This window comes from Homo sapiens, chromosome 2 (assembly GCF_000001405.40).
Source record: "Homo sapiens chromosome 2, GRCh38.p14 Primary Assembly".
NCBI lineage: Eukaryota > Metazoa > Chordata > Mammalia > Primates > Hominidae > Homo > Homo sapiens.
Window position 1 is genome coordinate 231,658,913 of NC_000002.12, and position 15,938 is coordinate 231,674,850.

The 15,938-nt window shown below is 55.4% G+C and overlaps 18 annotated features.

The window, feature by feature from the left end:
• Positions 3,093 to 3,292: a silencer, noted in NCBI's record as "silent region_12435". NCBI's record gives its function as "represses an Ori minimal core promoter by ATAC-STARR-seq in GM12878 lymphoblastoid cells {active_cell/tissue: GM12878}" and the evidence as "EXISTENCE:reporter gene assay evidence [ECO:0000049][PMID:35858748]".
• Positions 3,406 to 3,700: an enhancer, noted in NCBI's record as "tiled region #12409; HepG2 Activating non-DNase unmatched - State 10:DNaseD, and K562 Activating DNase matched - State 5:Enh". NCBI's record gives its function as "activates a minimal TATA promoter and a strong SV40 promoter by Sharpr-MPRA in HepG2 and K562 cells {active_cell/tissue: HepG2 | K562}" and the evidence as "EXISTENCE:reporter gene assay evidence [ECO:0000049][PMID:27701403]".
• Positions 3,406 to 14,656: a biological region, named in NCBI's record as "RN7SL499P-PTMA intergenic region enhancers".
• Positions 3,633 to 8,486: an enhancer, noted in NCBI's record as "VISTA enhancer hs1886". NCBI's record gives its function as "enhancer in: heart[5/8]" and the evidence as "EXISTENCE:transgenic organism evidence [ECO:0001131][PMID:17130149]".
• Positions 6,979 to 8,186: an enhancer, noted in NCBI's record as "amplified fragment containing the chr2:232530602-232531809 (GRCh37) CAGE-defined region". NCBI's record gives its function as "transcribed enhancer that activates a basal EF1alpha promoter by reporter assays in THP-1 monocytes {active_cell/tissue: THP-1}" and the evidence as "EXISTENCE:reporter gene assay evidence [ECO:0000049][PMID:24670763]".
• Positions 7,325 to 7,384: an enhancer, noted in NCBI's record as "active region_17301". NCBI's record gives its function as "activates an Ori minimal core promoter by ATAC-STARR-seq in GM12878 lymphoblastoid cells {active_cell/tissue: GM12878}" and the evidence as "EXISTENCE:reporter gene assay evidence [ECO:0000049][PMID:35858748]".
• Positions 7,534 to 8,069: an enhancer, noted in NCBI's record as "H3K27ac-H3K4me1 hESC enhancer chr2:232531157-232531692 (GRCh37/hg19 assembly coordinates)". NCBI's record gives its function as "activates a minimal SCP1, AML or CMV promoter by ChIP-STARR-seq in primed H9 embryonic stem cells {active_cell/tissue: H9 hESC(primed)}" and the evidence as "EXISTENCE:reporter gene assay evidence [ECO:0000049][PMID:30033119]".
• Positions 7,715 to 7,934: an enhancer, noted in NCBI's record as "active region_17302". NCBI's record gives its function as "activates an Ori minimal core promoter by ATAC-STARR-seq in GM12878 lymphoblastoid cells {active_cell/tissue: GM12878}" and the evidence as "EXISTENCE:reporter gene assay evidence [ECO:0000049][PMID:35858748]".
• Positions 7,986 to 8,280: an enhancer, noted in NCBI's record as "tiled region #815; K562 Activating DNase unmatched - State 1:Tss". NCBI's record gives its function as "activates a minimal TATA promoter and a strong SV40 promoter by Sharpr-MPRA in K562 cells {active_cell/tissue: K562}" and the evidence as "EXISTENCE:reporter gene assay evidence [ECO:0000049][PMID:27701403]".
• Positions 8,165 to 8,224: a silencer, noted in NCBI's record as "silent region_12436". NCBI's record gives its function as "represses an Ori minimal core promoter by ATAC-STARR-seq in GM12878 lymphoblastoid cells {active_cell/tissue: GM12878}" and the evidence as "EXISTENCE:reporter gene assay evidence [ECO:0000049][PMID:35858748]".
• Positions 9,682 to 10,218: an enhancer, noted in NCBI's record as "H3K4me1 hESC enhancer chr2:232533305-232533841 (GRCh37/hg19 assembly coordinates)". NCBI's record gives its function as "activates a minimal SCP1, AML or CMV promoter by ChIP-STARR-seq in naive H9 embryonic stem cells {active_cell/tissue: H9 hESC(naive)}" and the evidence as "EXISTENCE:reporter gene assay evidence [ECO:0000049][PMID:30033119]".
• Positions 12,108 to 12,247: a silencer, noted in NCBI's record as "silent region_12437". NCBI's record gives its function as "represses an Ori minimal core promoter by ATAC-STARR-seq in GM12878 lymphoblastoid cells {active_cell/tissue: GM12878}" and the evidence as "EXISTENCE:reporter gene assay evidence [ECO:0000049][PMID:35858748]".
• Positions 12,308 to 12,357: a silencer, noted in NCBI's record as "silent region_12438". NCBI's record gives its function as "represses an Ori minimal core promoter by ATAC-STARR-seq in GM12878 lymphoblastoid cells {active_cell/tissue: GM12878}" and the evidence as "EXISTENCE:reporter gene assay evidence [ECO:0000049][PMID:35858748]".
• Positions 13,198 to 13,247: an enhancer, noted in NCBI's record as "active region_17303". NCBI's record gives its function as "activates an Ori minimal core promoter by ATAC-STARR-seq in GM12878 lymphoblastoid cells {active_cell/tissue: GM12878}" and the evidence as "EXISTENCE:reporter gene assay evidence [ECO:0000049][PMID:35858748]".
• Positions 13,224 to 14,336: an enhancer, noted in NCBI's record as "amplified fragment containing the chr2:232536847-232537960 (GRCh37) CAGE-defined region". NCBI's record gives its function as "transcribed enhancer that actives a basal EF1alpha promoter by reporter assays in Daudi B cells {active_cell/tissue: Daudi}" and the evidence as "EXISTENCE:reporter gene assay evidence [ECO:0000049][PMID:24670763]".
• Positions 13,348 to 13,397: an enhancer, noted in NCBI's record as "active region_17304". NCBI's record gives its function as "activates an Ori minimal core promoter by ATAC-STARR-seq in GM12878 lymphoblastoid cells {active_cell/tissue: GM12878}" and the evidence as "EXISTENCE:reporter gene assay evidence [ECO:0000049][PMID:35858748]".
• Positions 13,898 to 13,947: an enhancer, noted in NCBI's record as "active region_17305". NCBI's record gives its function as "activates an Ori minimal core promoter by ATAC-STARR-seq in GM12878 lymphoblastoid cells {active_cell/tissue: GM12878}" and the evidence as "EXISTENCE:reporter gene assay evidence [ECO:0000049][PMID:35858748]".
• Positions 13,934 to 14,656: an enhancer, noted in NCBI's record as "H3K27ac-H3K4me1 hESC enhancer chr2:232537557-232538279 (GRCh37/hg19 assembly coordinates)". NCBI's record gives its function as "activates a minimal SCP1, AML or CMV promoter by ChIP-STARR-seq in naive H9 embryonic stem cells {active_cell/tissue: H9 hESC(naive)}" and the evidence as "EXISTENCE:reporter gene assay evidence [ECO:0000049][PMID:30033119]".

Below are 15,938 nucleotides of genomic sequence, written 5' to 3' on the forward strand. Positions count from 1 at the left end.
GTAGTCCCAGCTACTTGGGAGGCTGAGGCAGGAGAATGGTGTGAACTGGGGAGGCAGAGCTTGCAGTGAGCTGAGATTGCACCACTGCACTTCAGCCTGGGCAACAGAGCGAGACTCCATCTCAAAAAAAAAAAAAAAGAAAAGAAACGAAAGTGATTTGCTCAGGTCACACAGCCAGCAAGGGGGAGAGCTTAGGCAGTCCAACTCCAATGCCATACAGAGCACACTGCTTCTCACACCAAGGCCAGACACCAAATCACTCATTCACATCACACATAGAAATACCTCCTCTCTAGAGTCTTTTGAAGCATATCCATACAGTGGAATATTAGTCAGCTATAAAAAGGAATGATACATGCTACAACATGGATGAACTTTAAAAATTACGCTAAGTGAAAGACGCCAGACACAAAGACCACATATTGAATGATTCCATGTATATGAAATGTCCAGAATAGAAAACTCCATAGAGACAAAAGGAGATTAGTGGTTGCCAAGAGCTGGGAGGGAGGCGGGCAGATGAAGAGTGACTACTAATGAATACGGGTTTTGCTTTGGGGTAATGAAAATGTTCTGGAATTAGTGATGATGGTTTTTCAGCTTTATAAATACAGTGAAAACGGCTGAATTATACATTTTTCTTTTTCTTTTTTTTTTTTTTGAGACGGAGTCTCGCTCTATCGCCAGCCTGGAGTGCAATGGTGGGATCTCAGCTCACTGCAACCTCCGCCTCCTGGGTTCAAGCAATTCTCCTGCCTCAGCCTCCCGAGTACTGGGATTATAGGCGCCCGCCACCACGCCTAGCTAATTTTTTGTATTTTTGGTGGAGACGGGGTTTCACTGTGTTGGCCAGGCTGGTCTCAAACTTCTGATCTCAGGTGATCCACCCACCTCAGCCTCCCAAAGTGCTGGGTGTGAGCCACTGCGCCCGGCCTCATGAAGTCTTATTAATAGGAGTCAGGGACCTGTTAAGATTGAGTCTCTCACCAAGCAAGACAAGGACCTACCACTTATCAGTATTGCTGAGTGTTGGAGTCCCCACCTTGTTAAAGTTTTTTTGTTTTTTTGTTTTTGAGACAAGGTCTCACTCTGTTACCCAGGATGGGGTGCACTGGTGCAATCTCCAGATTCAAGTGATTCTCCTGCCTCAGCCTCCTGAGTAGCTGGGATTACAGGCACACGCCACCACACCAGGCAAATTTTTGTATTTTTAGTAGAGATGGGGTTTTGTCATGTTTTCCAGGCTGGTCTGAACTCCTGGCCTCAAGTGATCCACCTGCCTTGGCCTCCCAAAGTACTGGGATTACAGGCATAGAGCCAACATACCACTCTGCCTTGTTAAAGTTTTTTGTTTGTTTGTTGAGATGGAGTCTCACTCTGTCGCCCAGACTGGAATGCAGTGGTGCGATCTTGGCTCACTGCAACCTCCGCCTCCCACGTTCAAGCCATTCTCCTGCCTCAGCCTCTCCTGAGAGTAGCTGGGATTACAGGCGGCGCACCACCATGCCCACTAATTTTTTGTATTTTTTTAGTAGAGATGGGGTTTCACCATGTTGGCCAGAGTGGTCTCGAACTCTTGACCTCAAGTGATCCACCCATCTCGGTCTCCCAAAGTATTGGGATAACAGTCGTGAGCCACTGCACCCGGCCACCTTGTTAAAGTTTTAAAAAGAGAAATAAGGATGGACACAATTAAAAGATCATATAGACCTTAAGGACTTGGAAACTGAGGTTGCAAGTCAGACACCTCAACTTGGATGAAGGATCTCTGCTCCGCTATTAGTTTATGAATTTGGGCAAGGCTAATAACCTTAAAATCTCAGCTGCTTCAGGTATCAATGACGAATGATCCCTGCCCTCTGCCTTCTACTTTGACCCCATTCTGACCTGCAAAAATGCCGTTCCTCATAATCCTCAAATGAGCTGCGGAAACTTGAAAGGTAATTGTGACCTGCGAATGTGCTACTGACTACTGAGACCCTGTAGGAAAAAATAAAGGGAGGGAGGAATACGGATACTTTTCCTTCCAACCCCATGACCTGATCACAAGAGTTATGTGCATTCTGGATCCCAAGTCACCAGATAACTAACATTCTAACCTTTGAACGTGGTCTCTCAACTGGCCGGGACCTAGCTCTCCCCAGAGACCGTGAGAAACTGGCAGTTGACCGGCTCCTCTGAGCCTGCTGAGTTTTTTTCTATTTGCCCAACCACAGCTCTGCCAGAGAAGCAAAAACTGCTCCAGTATGTATGTAAACCATGAACCAAACTTCCTAATGCACGGAAGAGCGCTGGCAGGAACCATGCCACTGAATCAGACAGTGGCTGTACTGGAAGGTGGAAAAGACTATTCGTCCTTTCGCGTCCTTTAAGTACTTCTGTACTTATCTCTGTGTGTCAGTTCTTCCACGTGGACCTGGTTATGAAAGTTAATGCACTTAAAACAGGGCCTGGCATACTGCAAACGGAAGGTGAACACTACCATTCTTTCTTTCAAAAATTTCTACTGGCCGGGCGCGGTGGCTCACACCTGTAATCTCAGCACTTTTGGAGGCTGAGGCGGGCAGATCACGAGGTCAATATATCGAGACCATCCTGGCCAACATGGTGAAACCCCTTCTCTACTAAAAATACAAAAATTAACTGGGCGTGGTGGTGGGCGCCTGTAGTCCCAGCTCATAGGGAGACTGACGCAGAATTGCTTGAAAGCGGGAGGCGGAAGTTGCAGTGAGCTGAGATCGCGCCACTGAACTCCAGCCTGGGCAACGACAGCGAAACTCCGTCTCAAAAACAAACTTCTACCAAGAACTTGTATTAGTTTTATGGCTAAGGTTTGCTTTTAAACATTTTCTTGATCATTGTTTTACAGGAACATCTCTTTAATGGAAATTTTTAAACTTATTTTTGCCTCCCCCAAATCCATAACCCCAATTTGAAGTAGAAAGTTGCAAACTATGGGGATGAATTTGCGGAAGGGTATGTCTTTTCTTTTTCTATGAACAACTCAGAATCACATCTCAAAAGGTGTAGGCACTTTCAAGAACGCTTCATCCGCCCGCTTTAAGCACGCGCACCGACGAAAGAGTTTGGGGAGCGAGCGCCTCGGGCTTCCCCGGAGGGGAATTTTCACCCCCGCCAGAGGAAGAGGGCCCAGCTGCGCCATTAGCGCGTGCGAGGGAAAATGGAGGCTCCTGGTCCCACCCGCGCACCGGCGCCTGCGCCCTGGGCGCCCACCCCGGCCCGCGAGGCGGCCACGGCCGGAGAGAGAGGGCAAGGGAACCAGTGCCGTGTCGCGCCCCACCCTGCGCCCGAGCGCAGTGCCGGCGAGCCCGGCTCCGGCCCTTGAGAGTCCGCTCCAGGCCGCTCCACACCACGAGCCGCTCCGCAAGTTTGCAGCGCTCCGTGCTTTCCCTCCAGCCCTTTGTGTTCTAGCGCGCGTCGGAAGGAACGCGGGAACGCGCGCCGTGCTGTGCGCCTGCGCAAGGGTTCAGGCGGTGCGCCAAGCCTGGAGTCAAGAGTGGGCGAGGCTCTCGGCCGCTCCGCCCCGGGCCGCCTTCGCTCCGCCCCTCGCCCGCCATTTCGTGCTCCGCCGCGTCTCCCGCGTCTGGGGCGCGGCTTCCGCGTGATGGACGCCCGGAAGCCGGCACAACAAATGCCCAAGCGCCAGGGCTTCGCTGTCTGCAGGTCCTTCCGCTGCCCGCGGAGCGAAGATGGCGCCTAGAGCTTGCAGCGTTGCCCAAATATGGGGGGAATTAGGCGCCTCTACCTCCTCAAGAAGGGTCTGCCGGCTGACCTCGGGGGTGTGCACGTCCTTCTGTGTGCAGAACCCTGGGGCGTGCGCCTTTCTGTATGTGCACAACCTCGGAAGTGTGCGCATACCCTTGCTTACACTCCCTAGCACGCACACCAAAACTCTGGCATGCACGAACCCGCGGGTTTCCATGTTTTCGTATGTGCACGACCTCGAGGATGTACTTGGACCCGAGAATGTCCGCATTTGTGTTTGCACAGGTCCGGGTGTGCACGGACACGTGCATTCAGGAATGTAGTGGTTCACAGAAGCCGCTGTTTGCGCGGCCCGGGGATGTACGTGGACCCTCGAGTGCTAGCCCCGCCTCCGCTGTCTGTGGCCCGCGAACACGATCTTGTTTCCGGCCTGTTTTGGATTCATTTGCACTTGCCCAGTTTACATGCAAAGCATAATCTGCCGACCACCCCAAGCAATTTTTAATCTTTCCTTCGTTCTTTCTTCACTGATTTTTTGGCTCCTGCCCTGGACCCAACTTTGCACTTGGGCGCACACGGTGATAGTGACGCAGAGCATGAAGCCAGTGGGAGAAACGCCTAGAAATAGGCAGTTAGGACAACCTGAGACCACTGTGAAGGAGGCGCTTGGCTTGTCAATGACAGGGGAAGCGGCCTGGAGGAAGCCGTGAGCCGAGACCAGGGCATGGGGTAGAGGGAATAGGGTAATGGGCCCAGGACTGTTTGGGGAGGCATTCAGTCTCATTTGAGAGGATGGTGGGTGGAAGCAGAGGAGGCAGGTCATGGAGAGGAGTGTGTGGGGAAGGGACCTGTTGGTGAGGCTCGGGGGGCAGAAGACTTGGGCAGGCGTCTGAAGTGAGAGCTCGCATGGACTGGCCTCCCTAGGGAGCAGTGGGGAGAAGCAGCTGGGGCCTGGGGGTAGAGCCCGTGTGCCCACTGTTGACACCTTCGCGGGCTACTGCTCCTCGTGGCTTCTGTATGGAGCACAGGCCTCTTTCCGGGAGAGGGACTCGGACTGCAGGCTCCAGCCCTGCACTGCCATGAAAGGCCTGGGCAGGTTGTCTGCATAAGAACAGTACCTCTGGTGGTGGAAATGGAGGGAGACGCCACGGCACAGAGGACCTGTCCCAGACACGCGGGATGGCAAGCATCAGAGCTGGAGTGACTGCCGAGGTCCCCTGGTGAGGCCCTCCTTGTCTCTCCCTCAGCAGCCTAGTCCCCTCTGATTTTTTTTTTTTCTTTTTTGAGACGGAGTCTCTGTCGCCCAGGCTGGAGTGCAGTTGGCACCGTGTAGGCTCACTGCAACCTCTGTCTGCTGGGTTCAGGCACTCCTGACCTCAGGTGATCCACCCGCCTCGGCCTTCCAGAGTGCTTGGGATTACAGATGTGAGCCACCGCGCCCGGCCCGTCCTCTGTTTATGGTTACGGGTACTCTCCAGTCATGCTCACGGAAAACCTCTCCCTGGAGGTGTCTGCGTTTGCCTTGAGAATCCCTCTCCACGAGGTCCCCAATGTGTCTGTCCCCAGCTCATTGGAACATGTCTCAGGGAGCAGGGGCCACTTCGCACACTTTGCAGGACAGCCTTTTTGCTGTAGGCCAGATCTTTTTTCTTTTTCCTTTTTTTGGAGACAGAGTCTTGTTCTCTTGCCCAGGCTGGAGTGCAGGTAATATGATCTCAGCTTACTGCAACCTCCACCACCTGGGTTCAAGCGATTCTCATGCCTCAGCCTCCTGAGCAACTGGGATTATAGGCATGTATCACCACACCTGGCTAATTTTTGTATTTTTAGTAGAAATGGGGTTTCACTATGTTGGCCAGGCTGGTCTCGAACTCCTGGCCTCAAGTGAACCACCCGCCTCAGCCTCCCAAAGTGCTGGGATTACAGGCACTAGCCAATGCACCCGTCCTAGGCCAGATTTTTTTTTTTTTAATCTGAAATGAAGGTTTTTTTTCAGTCACCCAGAAGACACTTTTTTGTTTTGAGAGAGAGTCTTGCTTTATTGCCCAGGCTGGAGTGCAGAGGTGCAATTTCGGGATTACAGGCACATGCTACCACGCCTGCCTAGTTTTTTGTCTTTTTAGTAGAGACGGGGTTTTCTTGGCCAGGCTGGTCTCAAACTCCTGACCTCAGATGATATTCCCGCTTCAGCCTCCCAAAGTGCTAGGATTACAGGCGTGTTCCACCGCGCCCAGCCTAGACCAGATCTGTTTTATCTGAAACGGAAATGAAGGCTTTTTTTCTGTCACCCAAAAGATACTTTCTGAGCACATGGTCTGTTAAGCCTCTGTCTGGACTAGAGATAGAGCTGTGGAGCAGTTCCTGCCTCTAAGGAACATACAGGCCCAAGTCCCAGGACATGAGGGTCCAGAAGCAGACAAACAGCTTCTTTCCACTGAACCTGGACCTGCCTTCACCCTCCCCACCCAGCCCCGTGCATCTTGAATTAAAACAGAGAAGCTGGGGATTGGATGGCGGCAGGCCCTTCTCCCCACCAAGAGAGTGGCCCTGCCAGGCACTGCCTTCCTCTTTCCCAGGCCTGGGAATTGCCCCCAGCCCCTGCTTCTGGGAGTAACGGGGAGTTGACTGCACTCTGGGACACCAGTTGGGACCCTCCTCAGAAGGGGATGGGGACAGTCCTCAGTGCAGGGCAGTCTGCGGGGGAGGCCATGGTGGGGCTATCCCACTGACCTCCCTCAGCACCATATCTGGACAGCCGTGCCACCCTGGGAGGTGGGGTGAGGGGGCCAGTGTCTAGCCGTCTAGCTGTTGTTCCCGTGACACTCAGGCCTCAGGGCAGGTTGTGCCACTTTCATCCACCAGCAGGGCCAAGGCCTGGAGCCCGCAGGGCACCAATTCTGAGATCTGCTCTAAACAAGGCCTGCATCCTTCAAAGTTGGTGAGGTGGTCTCTTCTCCTGTAGGACAGGCAGGTTTCCTACTTTCCCCAAAGGCCCCAGGACTTGGGTGATGTCCTTCTCCGTCAACGGTCCTCTCCTTCAGCACAAGGCTCCAGAGGCAGCTCCCCATCCCACCCCACTCCTGAGCAGGCGGCCGGAGCTGCCCCCTCTGAATGCCACGCTGGGCAAGGGGTCCGTGCCTGGGAAACACCTGGTGGGCAATGCTCTGGCCTCAAGAATAAACAACGGGGATCTAGATGATGCCACCGTCCTCAGTCTCTGACCTCCAAAGGAGCCACATTCAAGAGAAGGGAGGTCCCTCCACAAATGAGACAGCAGAAGAATAAATGCTACCCTGTGCCTGCCGACTTCCTGCAGAGGTCTGTGGGCTCGTGTAAATAATTGAATGGAAAACTTCAGAAGGAAGGCAGCCCACGGGAGCCTGGCCTTGCCCGCCAGAAAGCAGGTTATAAAATGTTTCCCATGTAAGTGGTGGCTGGGGGTAGTCAGGAGGCCTAGTTACAACCCCGAGAAGTAAGGCTGCCCTGGGCTCCCAGGGGAAACACTGGGCTGGGTGGGTGGGCGCTCTTCAGGGAGTAGATTCCTCCCGGCCACCCTCAGCTCCTAGTCTCTTGGGTGTGGTAGCTCCAAGATCTCAAAGCCCAATCGCCGAGCCCGGTGGTTTCCGATGTGTCCTACCCTCCCTCCTGCTGCACATGCAGCTTGCATTGCTGGGGAGTAAGGGGAGATGATTTCCGGCCAGCACAGGCAAAGCCAGGCAGGGAGTCCCCTGAGGCGGCGCAGCAGGAGGACCACCAAGTGTGGCCCATACGCCCGGCATCCGGCCCTCTCCCTGCCTTGTCCTCAGCTGAGGCCTGAGGTGAATTGTAGGCTGGGCCGATTCCCCACCCCTGGCCTCAGGGCGGTTCCTCCTGGGTCCAACTGCCCCAGCCCAGGCCATCTGGGAGGCAGGCTGGGCGGGGAGAGAGGGAGGGAGGACGTGTGTGAGCCACTGCCCAGCCCCCGAGGCACAAACATTTCCTTATGTGGTGGCTCTGAGTGCCCGGGCGACACCCTAGAGGCTGCTGGGGAGGGCCAGGGCCGGACACACCCTGGGTGATCGCAGAAGCAGAGCCCCTGCCCAACAGGATCTTGGCCTCATCTTGTGGAGGAACGGACCCCCACCTGGCTCTTTGTCCCCTGGAGTGGCCCACAATCCCCTAGGAGGAAGTGGTCACTGCTTCTGTACGGGATGTTTCCCCAAATTCCCCGTGTTTGCAAGAGAAACTGTGAGATTAGAGGTACAGCAGAGACCCCAGCCCCGGGACAGGAAGGGGTGAAGGGTGGGCTGGCAGGCCCCTAGCCTCAGGGTGCGCCTCCCGCACCGCCCCCCACTCAGCACCAGGCACGGCGCTACTCCCTTTGTTTCCGGCAGGCTTTGGGAGCTATATTTGGCTGTGGGGGGATAACAGGGTGACTCATGGGAGGGACGGCCCGGGGTGGGAAGTGGAGGAGCTGTGTCTCTGGAAATGCGGCTCCCTCTGTTCCCAAGCCTGCCGCAGGTGCTAGCCCTCCGTGAGCGCTGAAAGCAAAACAGCCAACAACGCCAGGGCTCCCACCTGTAATCTCAGCACTTTGGGAGGCCGAGGGGGGCAGATTGCTTGAGCCCAGGAGTTTGAGACCAACCTGGCCAGCACAGTGAGACCCCGTCTCTACAGAAAAAAATTAGCCAGGTGTGACGGTGCACGCCTGTGGTCCCAGCTACTCTGGATGCTGAGGCAGGAGAATCACCTGAGCCTAGAAGTTCAAGGCTGGAGAGAGCCGAGATCACGCCACTACACTCCAGCCTGGGCAACAAAATAAGACCCTATCTCAAAAAAAAAAGAAAGAAAGAGAAAAGAAAAAGAAACTGGGCAGACCCAGCATAGCTGCCTCCCACAGCAACGCAAGGCTGCATGGTCCCTGCACTTGCTCTCGGGGTGTAGGACATTGACCTCAGGGGGCACCCCAGCTGTCCAGAGTCTGGTTAGCACACCCCAGGCCTGATCCCCTGGGATGTCTACTCAGACCCCCGAACTGCCCTAGCTTCTCAGGCCAGTGTCATTTCTCCAAGGTGACAGCCTTTAAAGCAGATTTGAATGGCTGACAGGGCGTGTTCCCCATGGGATATGTATTTTATTGTTGTTTTATGGCTTTTTTTTTTTTTCTTGAGACAGAGTCTCACTCTGTCGCTCAGGCTGAAGTGCAATGGAGCAATCTCGGCTCACTGCAACCTCTGCCTCCTGGGTTCAAGCGATTGTCCTGCCTCAGCTTCCCAAGTAGCTGGGATTATAAGCACCTGCCACCATACCTGGAGAATTTTTTTTGTTTTGTTTTGTTTTTTGAGACACACCTGGCTAATTTTTGTTTTTGTTGTTGTTTGTTTTTTTTTTTTGAGACAGAGTTTCCCTCTTGTTGCCCAGGCTGGAGTGCAACGGTGCAATCTCGGCTCACTGCAACCTCCGCTTCCCAGGTTCAAGCAATTCTCCTGCCTCAGCCTCCCAAGTAGCTGGGATTACAGGCACGTGCCACCACACCCAGCTAATTTTGTATTTTTAGTAGAGATGGGGTTTCTCCATGTTGGTCAGGCTGGTCTCGACCACCTGACTTCAGGTGATCCGCCTGCCTCGGCCTCCCAAAGTGCTGAGATTACAGGCATGATGAGCCACTGCGCCCGGCATTTTTGTATTTTTAGTAGAAATGGGGTTTCACCATGTTGGCTGGGCTGGTCTCGAACTCCTGACCTCAGGTGATCTGCCTGCCTTGGCCTCCCAAAGTGTTGGGATTACAGGCATGAGCCACCGTGCCTGGCCAGGATATTTTTTAAATGGGGCTCCAGTAAGAAATGTGCTCATTCCAGTGCATCTTGAATTGGTCTGATTTCAGGGAGTATATAGGTTGAGGCTGACTCCGAAAGTTAACCCTGGTCTAGGAGGCCTTGGCATGCCAGCACCGCCAGTACCACCCCCACCGGGCTGAGGGGATGAGCCTGCTGGGCCTGGCTGCCAGCTGGCCCTGCGACTCCCATCTTTTCTCCGACAGCCCCTTGATGCTCGGCTCCCCGGGGTCTGTCCTTGGTCCCTCAGTCAAGGGACATCCATCTCTAAATTGCCTTCCTCCCTTGGTCAAGGGACATGCATCTCTAAAGTGCCTTCCTCCCAGCGACTACCCTTACCACCTGACACTGGGAAAGTCACCTCCTGCCTCAGAGCTCCCATTGGCCCCAGCCCAACTTGCCCCATCCTGATTCAGTGGGAATGGGTAGGATTCAAGCCCCCCAGTTCGAGACCCAGTCTTCTGTGGTACACTAGGATCCCAGAGCTGAAGTAGAGAATCTGGTTAATACATCAGTGTACAGACTCTTCAGTTTTAAGATTCTCTTTCCATACTGGGGGAGGTCTCAGGAATCTGTAGAAGGTAGATGGGGAAATGGACACTCAGAAGCATCAGACACTTCACAATCCAGATGCTGATAAAATGGCCAAACCTTGGTGTTCAAAGGGATCTTAGTGGTCATCTCATTCAACCCAACTACCCAAAGCAGAAATCTCTTCTACTGCTTCCTTGATTGCTTCCAGCAGCGGGGAACTCACTGCCTTGGTATGGTTTTGTTTTGCTTCTTGTTTTTGAGATAGTCTCTCTTTGTCACCTAGGCTGGATTGCAGTGGCATGATCATGGCTCACTGCAGCCTTGACTTCCTGGGCTTGAGCGATCCTACCTTCTCAATCCACTCCCCCTCAAAGTAGCTGGGACTATAGGTGTGTGCCACCATGCCCCACTTATTTCTGTATTTTTAGCAGAGGCAGGGTTTTGCCATGTTGCCCAGGCCAGTCTTGAACTCCTAGGCTCAAGTGATCCTTCTGCCTTGGCCTCCCAAAGTGCTGGGATTACGGGTGCGAGCCACCACGCCCGGCGGGTGTGTTCTGTCTTATACTTAAAGGAATTAAAATTTTCCTCCTTCAGCGTCTGTCCTCGTGGTCCTTGTTCTGTGTGTTCTGTGAAAGCAGAGTTACAGGGTGGTTTGCTACCCGCTGCATCCCACCACCTCATACAAAGCTGGGATGTAGCGATGTTCAATGGATATGCTGCCGGAATGATGGATGAAGCAATACTGAATGTTAGCCATGGTGCTGCCTTGCAGTCATCTACTCTAGGCTATACAGCACCATCTCACATATGACAGACAGGGTTTCCAGAACATTCCTCATCCTTCCCACGCCTCTACCACATGCAGGTTGCAGAGTTCTTTTGAGCAGTGGGCCCTCTGCAGTGAACTCAGTTTTCCAGGACTGTCCTGAATGGCACAGAAGTGGAGTGGGGCATGCCACCCCTCGGGGTGCACTCCATGCTGCTGTCCGCACAACCTGCCCTGCGAGGGCTTATTTCAGCATCACGCCATAGGTGCATCTCTCTGAGCCCCAGGCTGGTCCTTGGTGCAGCAGAGATGCAACTTTAACTTCCAGAGTTTTAGCAAAGCATGGGGCTCCTTGCTTTGTATGGCAATGGTACCACACCTTGGAAGAGGGCAGCCCCAGGCCCTCCTAGGTGGAACCTGTTCAAGGGGCCAACAGTCTCGTTGTGGGGCAAGAAGATGCCAGAGTGTGCCCCTTGCTTAGTTTCCTCAGTGAGCGAGACCTGGCATTGGGGGTCTCCCAGTCCCCAAGCTGAGAGACCCATAACCAGGTCATCAGCAGTTGTCTGACTGTGGGTGGAGGAGCCCCTGGGCCCCAGGGCTTCCAGGCACTGTGGCTCAGCTTTGCCGGCCCAGAGAGCCACATAGGCATGAGGTAGTTGTGAACACACAGTTCTGGGTTAATAAGTGTTTGCTGACTGACTCCCAAGGGCTAGGAGGTGGGGAACTGCCACAGGCTGGTGGCTGGCAGACTTCATATGGCACCTGGGACGCTGGGGGGTCCTGGTCCCCTCTGCCGTGAGGGGCCAGGTCAAACTCATCCCTCTCACCCCAGCCCACAGGTTGCAGGTCTTTTTTTTTTTTTTTGAGATGGAGTTTCACTCTTGTTGCCCAGGCTGGAGTGCAGTGGTGCAATCTTGGCTCACTGCAACCTCTGCCTCCCGGGTTCAAGCGATTCTCCTGCCTGAGCCTCCCAAGTAGCTGGAATTACAGGTGCCCGCCACCACGCCCGGCTAATGTTTGTAGTTTTAGTAGAGACAGGGTTTCACCATGTTGGCCAGGCTGGTCTTGAACTCCTGACCTCAGGTGATCCACCTGCCTTGGCTTTCCAAAGTGCTGGGATTACAGGCGTGAGCCACCACGCCCGGCCACACAGGTTGCAGATTTGATGAAGGGCAGGGAGGAGGCTCTGGCTAAGACCAGGCTGGATCTGAACTTGTAGTCCAAAGGCAGAAGGAGTGAGATCCAGACTATCCCAGGAAGGAACTGGGGCCTCTGGAAAACCAGAGAGGTTTTCCTCCCCTGAAGGGGTTTTGTGGCACCGTCCCTCAACAGGCCACCTGGTGGCCACAGAGGCTCAGGCAGGGTTGGGTGGGGGGGAATGGGAGGGGATGGGGTGGGTCAGGGCCATTGCTCCCTGCTGAGTCCCACTGGGGATCATTGTGACAGAGAGGAAACCCCTGTTGGTGCAGGGAAGCCAAAGGAAAATAAAATTTGCCCCACCCTGAAAAGGAAAGGAAGACTCAGGAGAGAGGCCCCAGAGGGGGAGGCGTTACTGCCCAAAGGCTCCCAAGACCTGTCAGGTCAGCAGACACCAGCTGTGTCCCAGCAGAAGGTGGCCGGTTGAGCCCAGCTCCAGGAGGACACCAGCTCGGCTCCCATGCCACAAGGGCTGGTCGGGCCTGAGAAAGCGCCTGCCCAGATGTGCCAAGGAGAGTTGGCCCCACACCCAGACCTGCACTGCTGACTCCAAGCAGAGGCTGCGCCCACCTCACCCTCCTTCCTGCAGGAAGTGTGGCTTTGCAACAGTGGCTGGTCTGAGGAACTGCCTCCTAGGCTAAGCCCTCTGGCTACCTCCCCAGGCCTCAGGGATCCCCCTGGAACACACCTGCAGTCCCGTCCAAGGCAGGCTGTGTACTCTGAAAGAGCCCTGGGGTTCCAGGACAGAGCCCACCGGCGCTCACTGGCTAGAGAGCCTGGGGCAGTTCACTCTGCCAGCCGGCCCCCAGTGCTCAGTCCCAGCTCTGCCAGCCAGCATGTAATTTTTCTGCCTGTGAGAGCGTGAGCCACCTGAGCCGGCTGAGCTGAGTGGGCAGGACCAGAGGTCAGGACCAGAGCCTGGGTGCAAAATGCAAACATGGCCCCGTATGCAAATCACTCAGTTGTTTGTTCCTTCTCTCCTGACAAGGGCCAGCCACACCCAGATGCCGAAAAGAGCGCGCATGGCCTGGTCCCTGGGTGTCCTCAAGAGAGGAGTGGGCTGGGCACCTGATGGAGCACAGCAGCGCTAACCTCTGGGGCAGGACCCAGCTGAGCAGACGGCCCTTTCTCTTCGGAGCCGCGAGCCCTCGGTCTCCGCCCGAGGGAATTCATAGCATTCTGCCTTTCCTGAAATCACTCCTGTCCCAAGTGGAGTCATCCCACAGACCATCAGTGATGTCTGTTTCCCCAGGCTCAGGGCAGACTTTCAGTCTGGGGCTGAGGTGGCCCTGTGTGTCTAGGGGCTGATGTGGGCAGACCTTTGAGGAGCTGGCTGGGAACCCCTCCCCCGCCTTCATAACAGGGACCACTGCAGGGTGGTAAGCCAGGCCCACATAGCTCTTTTTTTTTGCCCAGCTAATTTTTTGTATTTTTAGTAGAGACGGGGTTTAATCATGTTGGCCAGGATGGTCTTGAACTCCTGACCTCAGGTGATCCACCCACCTAGGCCCCCTAAAGTGCAGGGATTACAGCCATGAGCCACTGCACCCGGCCATCCACATAGCTCTTTCTTGCCTGAAAGATCCTGGGCCAGGAGGGAACTAAGCTTGGGACCCTGCCTCAAAGGATGCTGGGCAGGGTGACGCCAGCACTGGGTGGGTAGCAGTCCCCTGAGGCTGCGGGTGGCAGACAGCTGGGCCACGGGGACCCTGGGGAGTCCCAGATGTTGTCTCTTTCAGCTCACTGCTTCTCCGAATGTGACGGGGAGACTGGGGAGGCCACAAGGAGGAGACGAGGGGCCCCCACGGGGGTTTACTGAGGAGCACACAGTGCGGGCAGTGGGCCATCTGTCCCAGGGCTGGGCCAGGGAGGGGCTTCCCAGTATCAGCAGGCAGGGCCGCCCTCAGGCCCAGCTCCCCCAGGAGTGCATGGCAGGGGCACCTGGCTCAGGGCTGAATGGAATGAGATGGGTCCAGAGCACCCCCTGCACACAGTGAGGCTCAGGTGAACCTGGGAATGTTCAGGGAGAGGCACAGGAGAAACAGGAGGCCTGAAAGGGAGGGGCCTGGCCTGAGGGCAGATCTGGAGGGAGGGCCCACCCGCAAGCTGCTTCCCTCCGGCCTGCTGGAGGCGCCAAAATCACCCTAGCCCGGGCCCCACCCGACAGTCTGAAAGCCCTTTCTCTTTCCATACTGGGGGAGGTCTGAAAGCCCTGGGCAGGGACCGACGTTCTGATTTCACGGCAGACCTTGTTTTCCACCAAATCAGTGAGCCCTGGTTCTGGAGGGTCCTTGAAATCTCCCCTAAGAGCTTGGTCAGAGCCTCGGAGGAAGGAGGCGTTTGGGGGAGGAGACTCAGATCTGGGAGGCCGGGTCTAGAAGGTCCGGCCCATCCTTGGGACCCCAGAACCTGGTCCCTGAAAGGCATGGCCCCTCCTGAGGCACTGACTCTGGGGACTGAAGCCCCCACAGAGCTCTCACTTCCAAGGCCCCCCAACCCTGGGCCACTGGGGAATCCCTGCTCCCTCCCCTTCCCCACCCATCCTCTTAGGCTCCTTCTCCTCCCATCCCCCAGGGAAAAGAGGGCCCGCCCCCCACGCCAGGGCATCCCACTTCCTGCCTCTCACCGGCAAACAGCTCCCAATCCCAGTCCTCAGTGAGGAAACGGAGGTGTGTCTGACCCCTCCCAGCCAGGCTCCACCACAGTGCTGGCCCTTGACTGTATTTGTCCGTCCTGTTGGCTTCCTCCAGGTCGGTCTTGTGTTCACACAGGGTACTCTAGCCCACCTCCCTCCTGCTTCCCTGACTTCACAGCCTCCATATATATATATATATATTTTTTCCTTCTCCTTCCAGATGGAGTTTTGCTCTGTTGCCTAGGCTGGAGTGCGGTGGCAAGATCTCGGCTCACTGCAACCTCCTCTTCCTGGATTGAAGCGATTCTCCTGCCTCAGCCTCCAAGTAGCTGGGATTACAGGCGCCCACCACCACACCCAGCTAATTTTTTGATATTTTTAGTAGAGATGGGTTTCCCGAGTTTCACTGTGTTGGCCAGGCTGGTCCCAAACTCCTGACCTCAAGTGATCCGCCCGCCTCGGCCTCCCAAAGTGCTGGGATTACAGGCGTGAGCCACCAAGCACGGCCCCGCAGCCTCCTTCTTGAAAGAGATGTCCACACCCCATCTGCCCCTCCTTCTCCCTTCCTCATTCCTCAGCAGCTGGCCTCCTGCGGCTGCTCCCAGGATCTTCTGCAGAGTCTGGTCCAGCCAACCCCACCTACCTGGCTCCACATCCACGTCTTTTGAGCCCTCCTCTTCTCCGCCCCATGGGTGCCCGTTTCTCCAGGCCTGCCTCTCTGCCCTCCTGTCCTCACCACAGGCCCTTCTTTCTGCCTGGGCCTTCTTTCTGCCTTCCCTCTGAGAGTGGAAGTGGGGAGGCTGGGAACAAAGGCTGGCATAGGGCACCCTGGGTGCAAAGAGGCCTCACTGTGTACCAGCTGGATGGCCTTGGTTTCCTCAGGCATAAAGTGAGGTTGGTAACGTGGAATTGGCCTCTGGGTCCTGTGAGGACTTAGAGGCACACATCCAGGCAGCTGCTGCACACCCAGGGGGCTGAGATTTGCCCAATGGACTCTGGCACCAGTGCTTTCAGCCACAGTGAGAGGTTTGCAGAGGGCTTCATAAGTCCTCAGGCATTTGGGCTGATCTGGGAGTCCCAGTGACCCAAGCAGCCACACACATTCCCACACAGCTCAGCGCATTACTCTTCCAAGCAAGGGGCAGGCGCGTTTTGAGGGCCTCGACCATTTGTACGGAACACCGTGTTCTGTCTGCTGCCACTGGTCTCAAGGAGGACGAATCCCCTCGACCTTACCCCACCCTGGGCATCTCCACCCAGAGCCCTG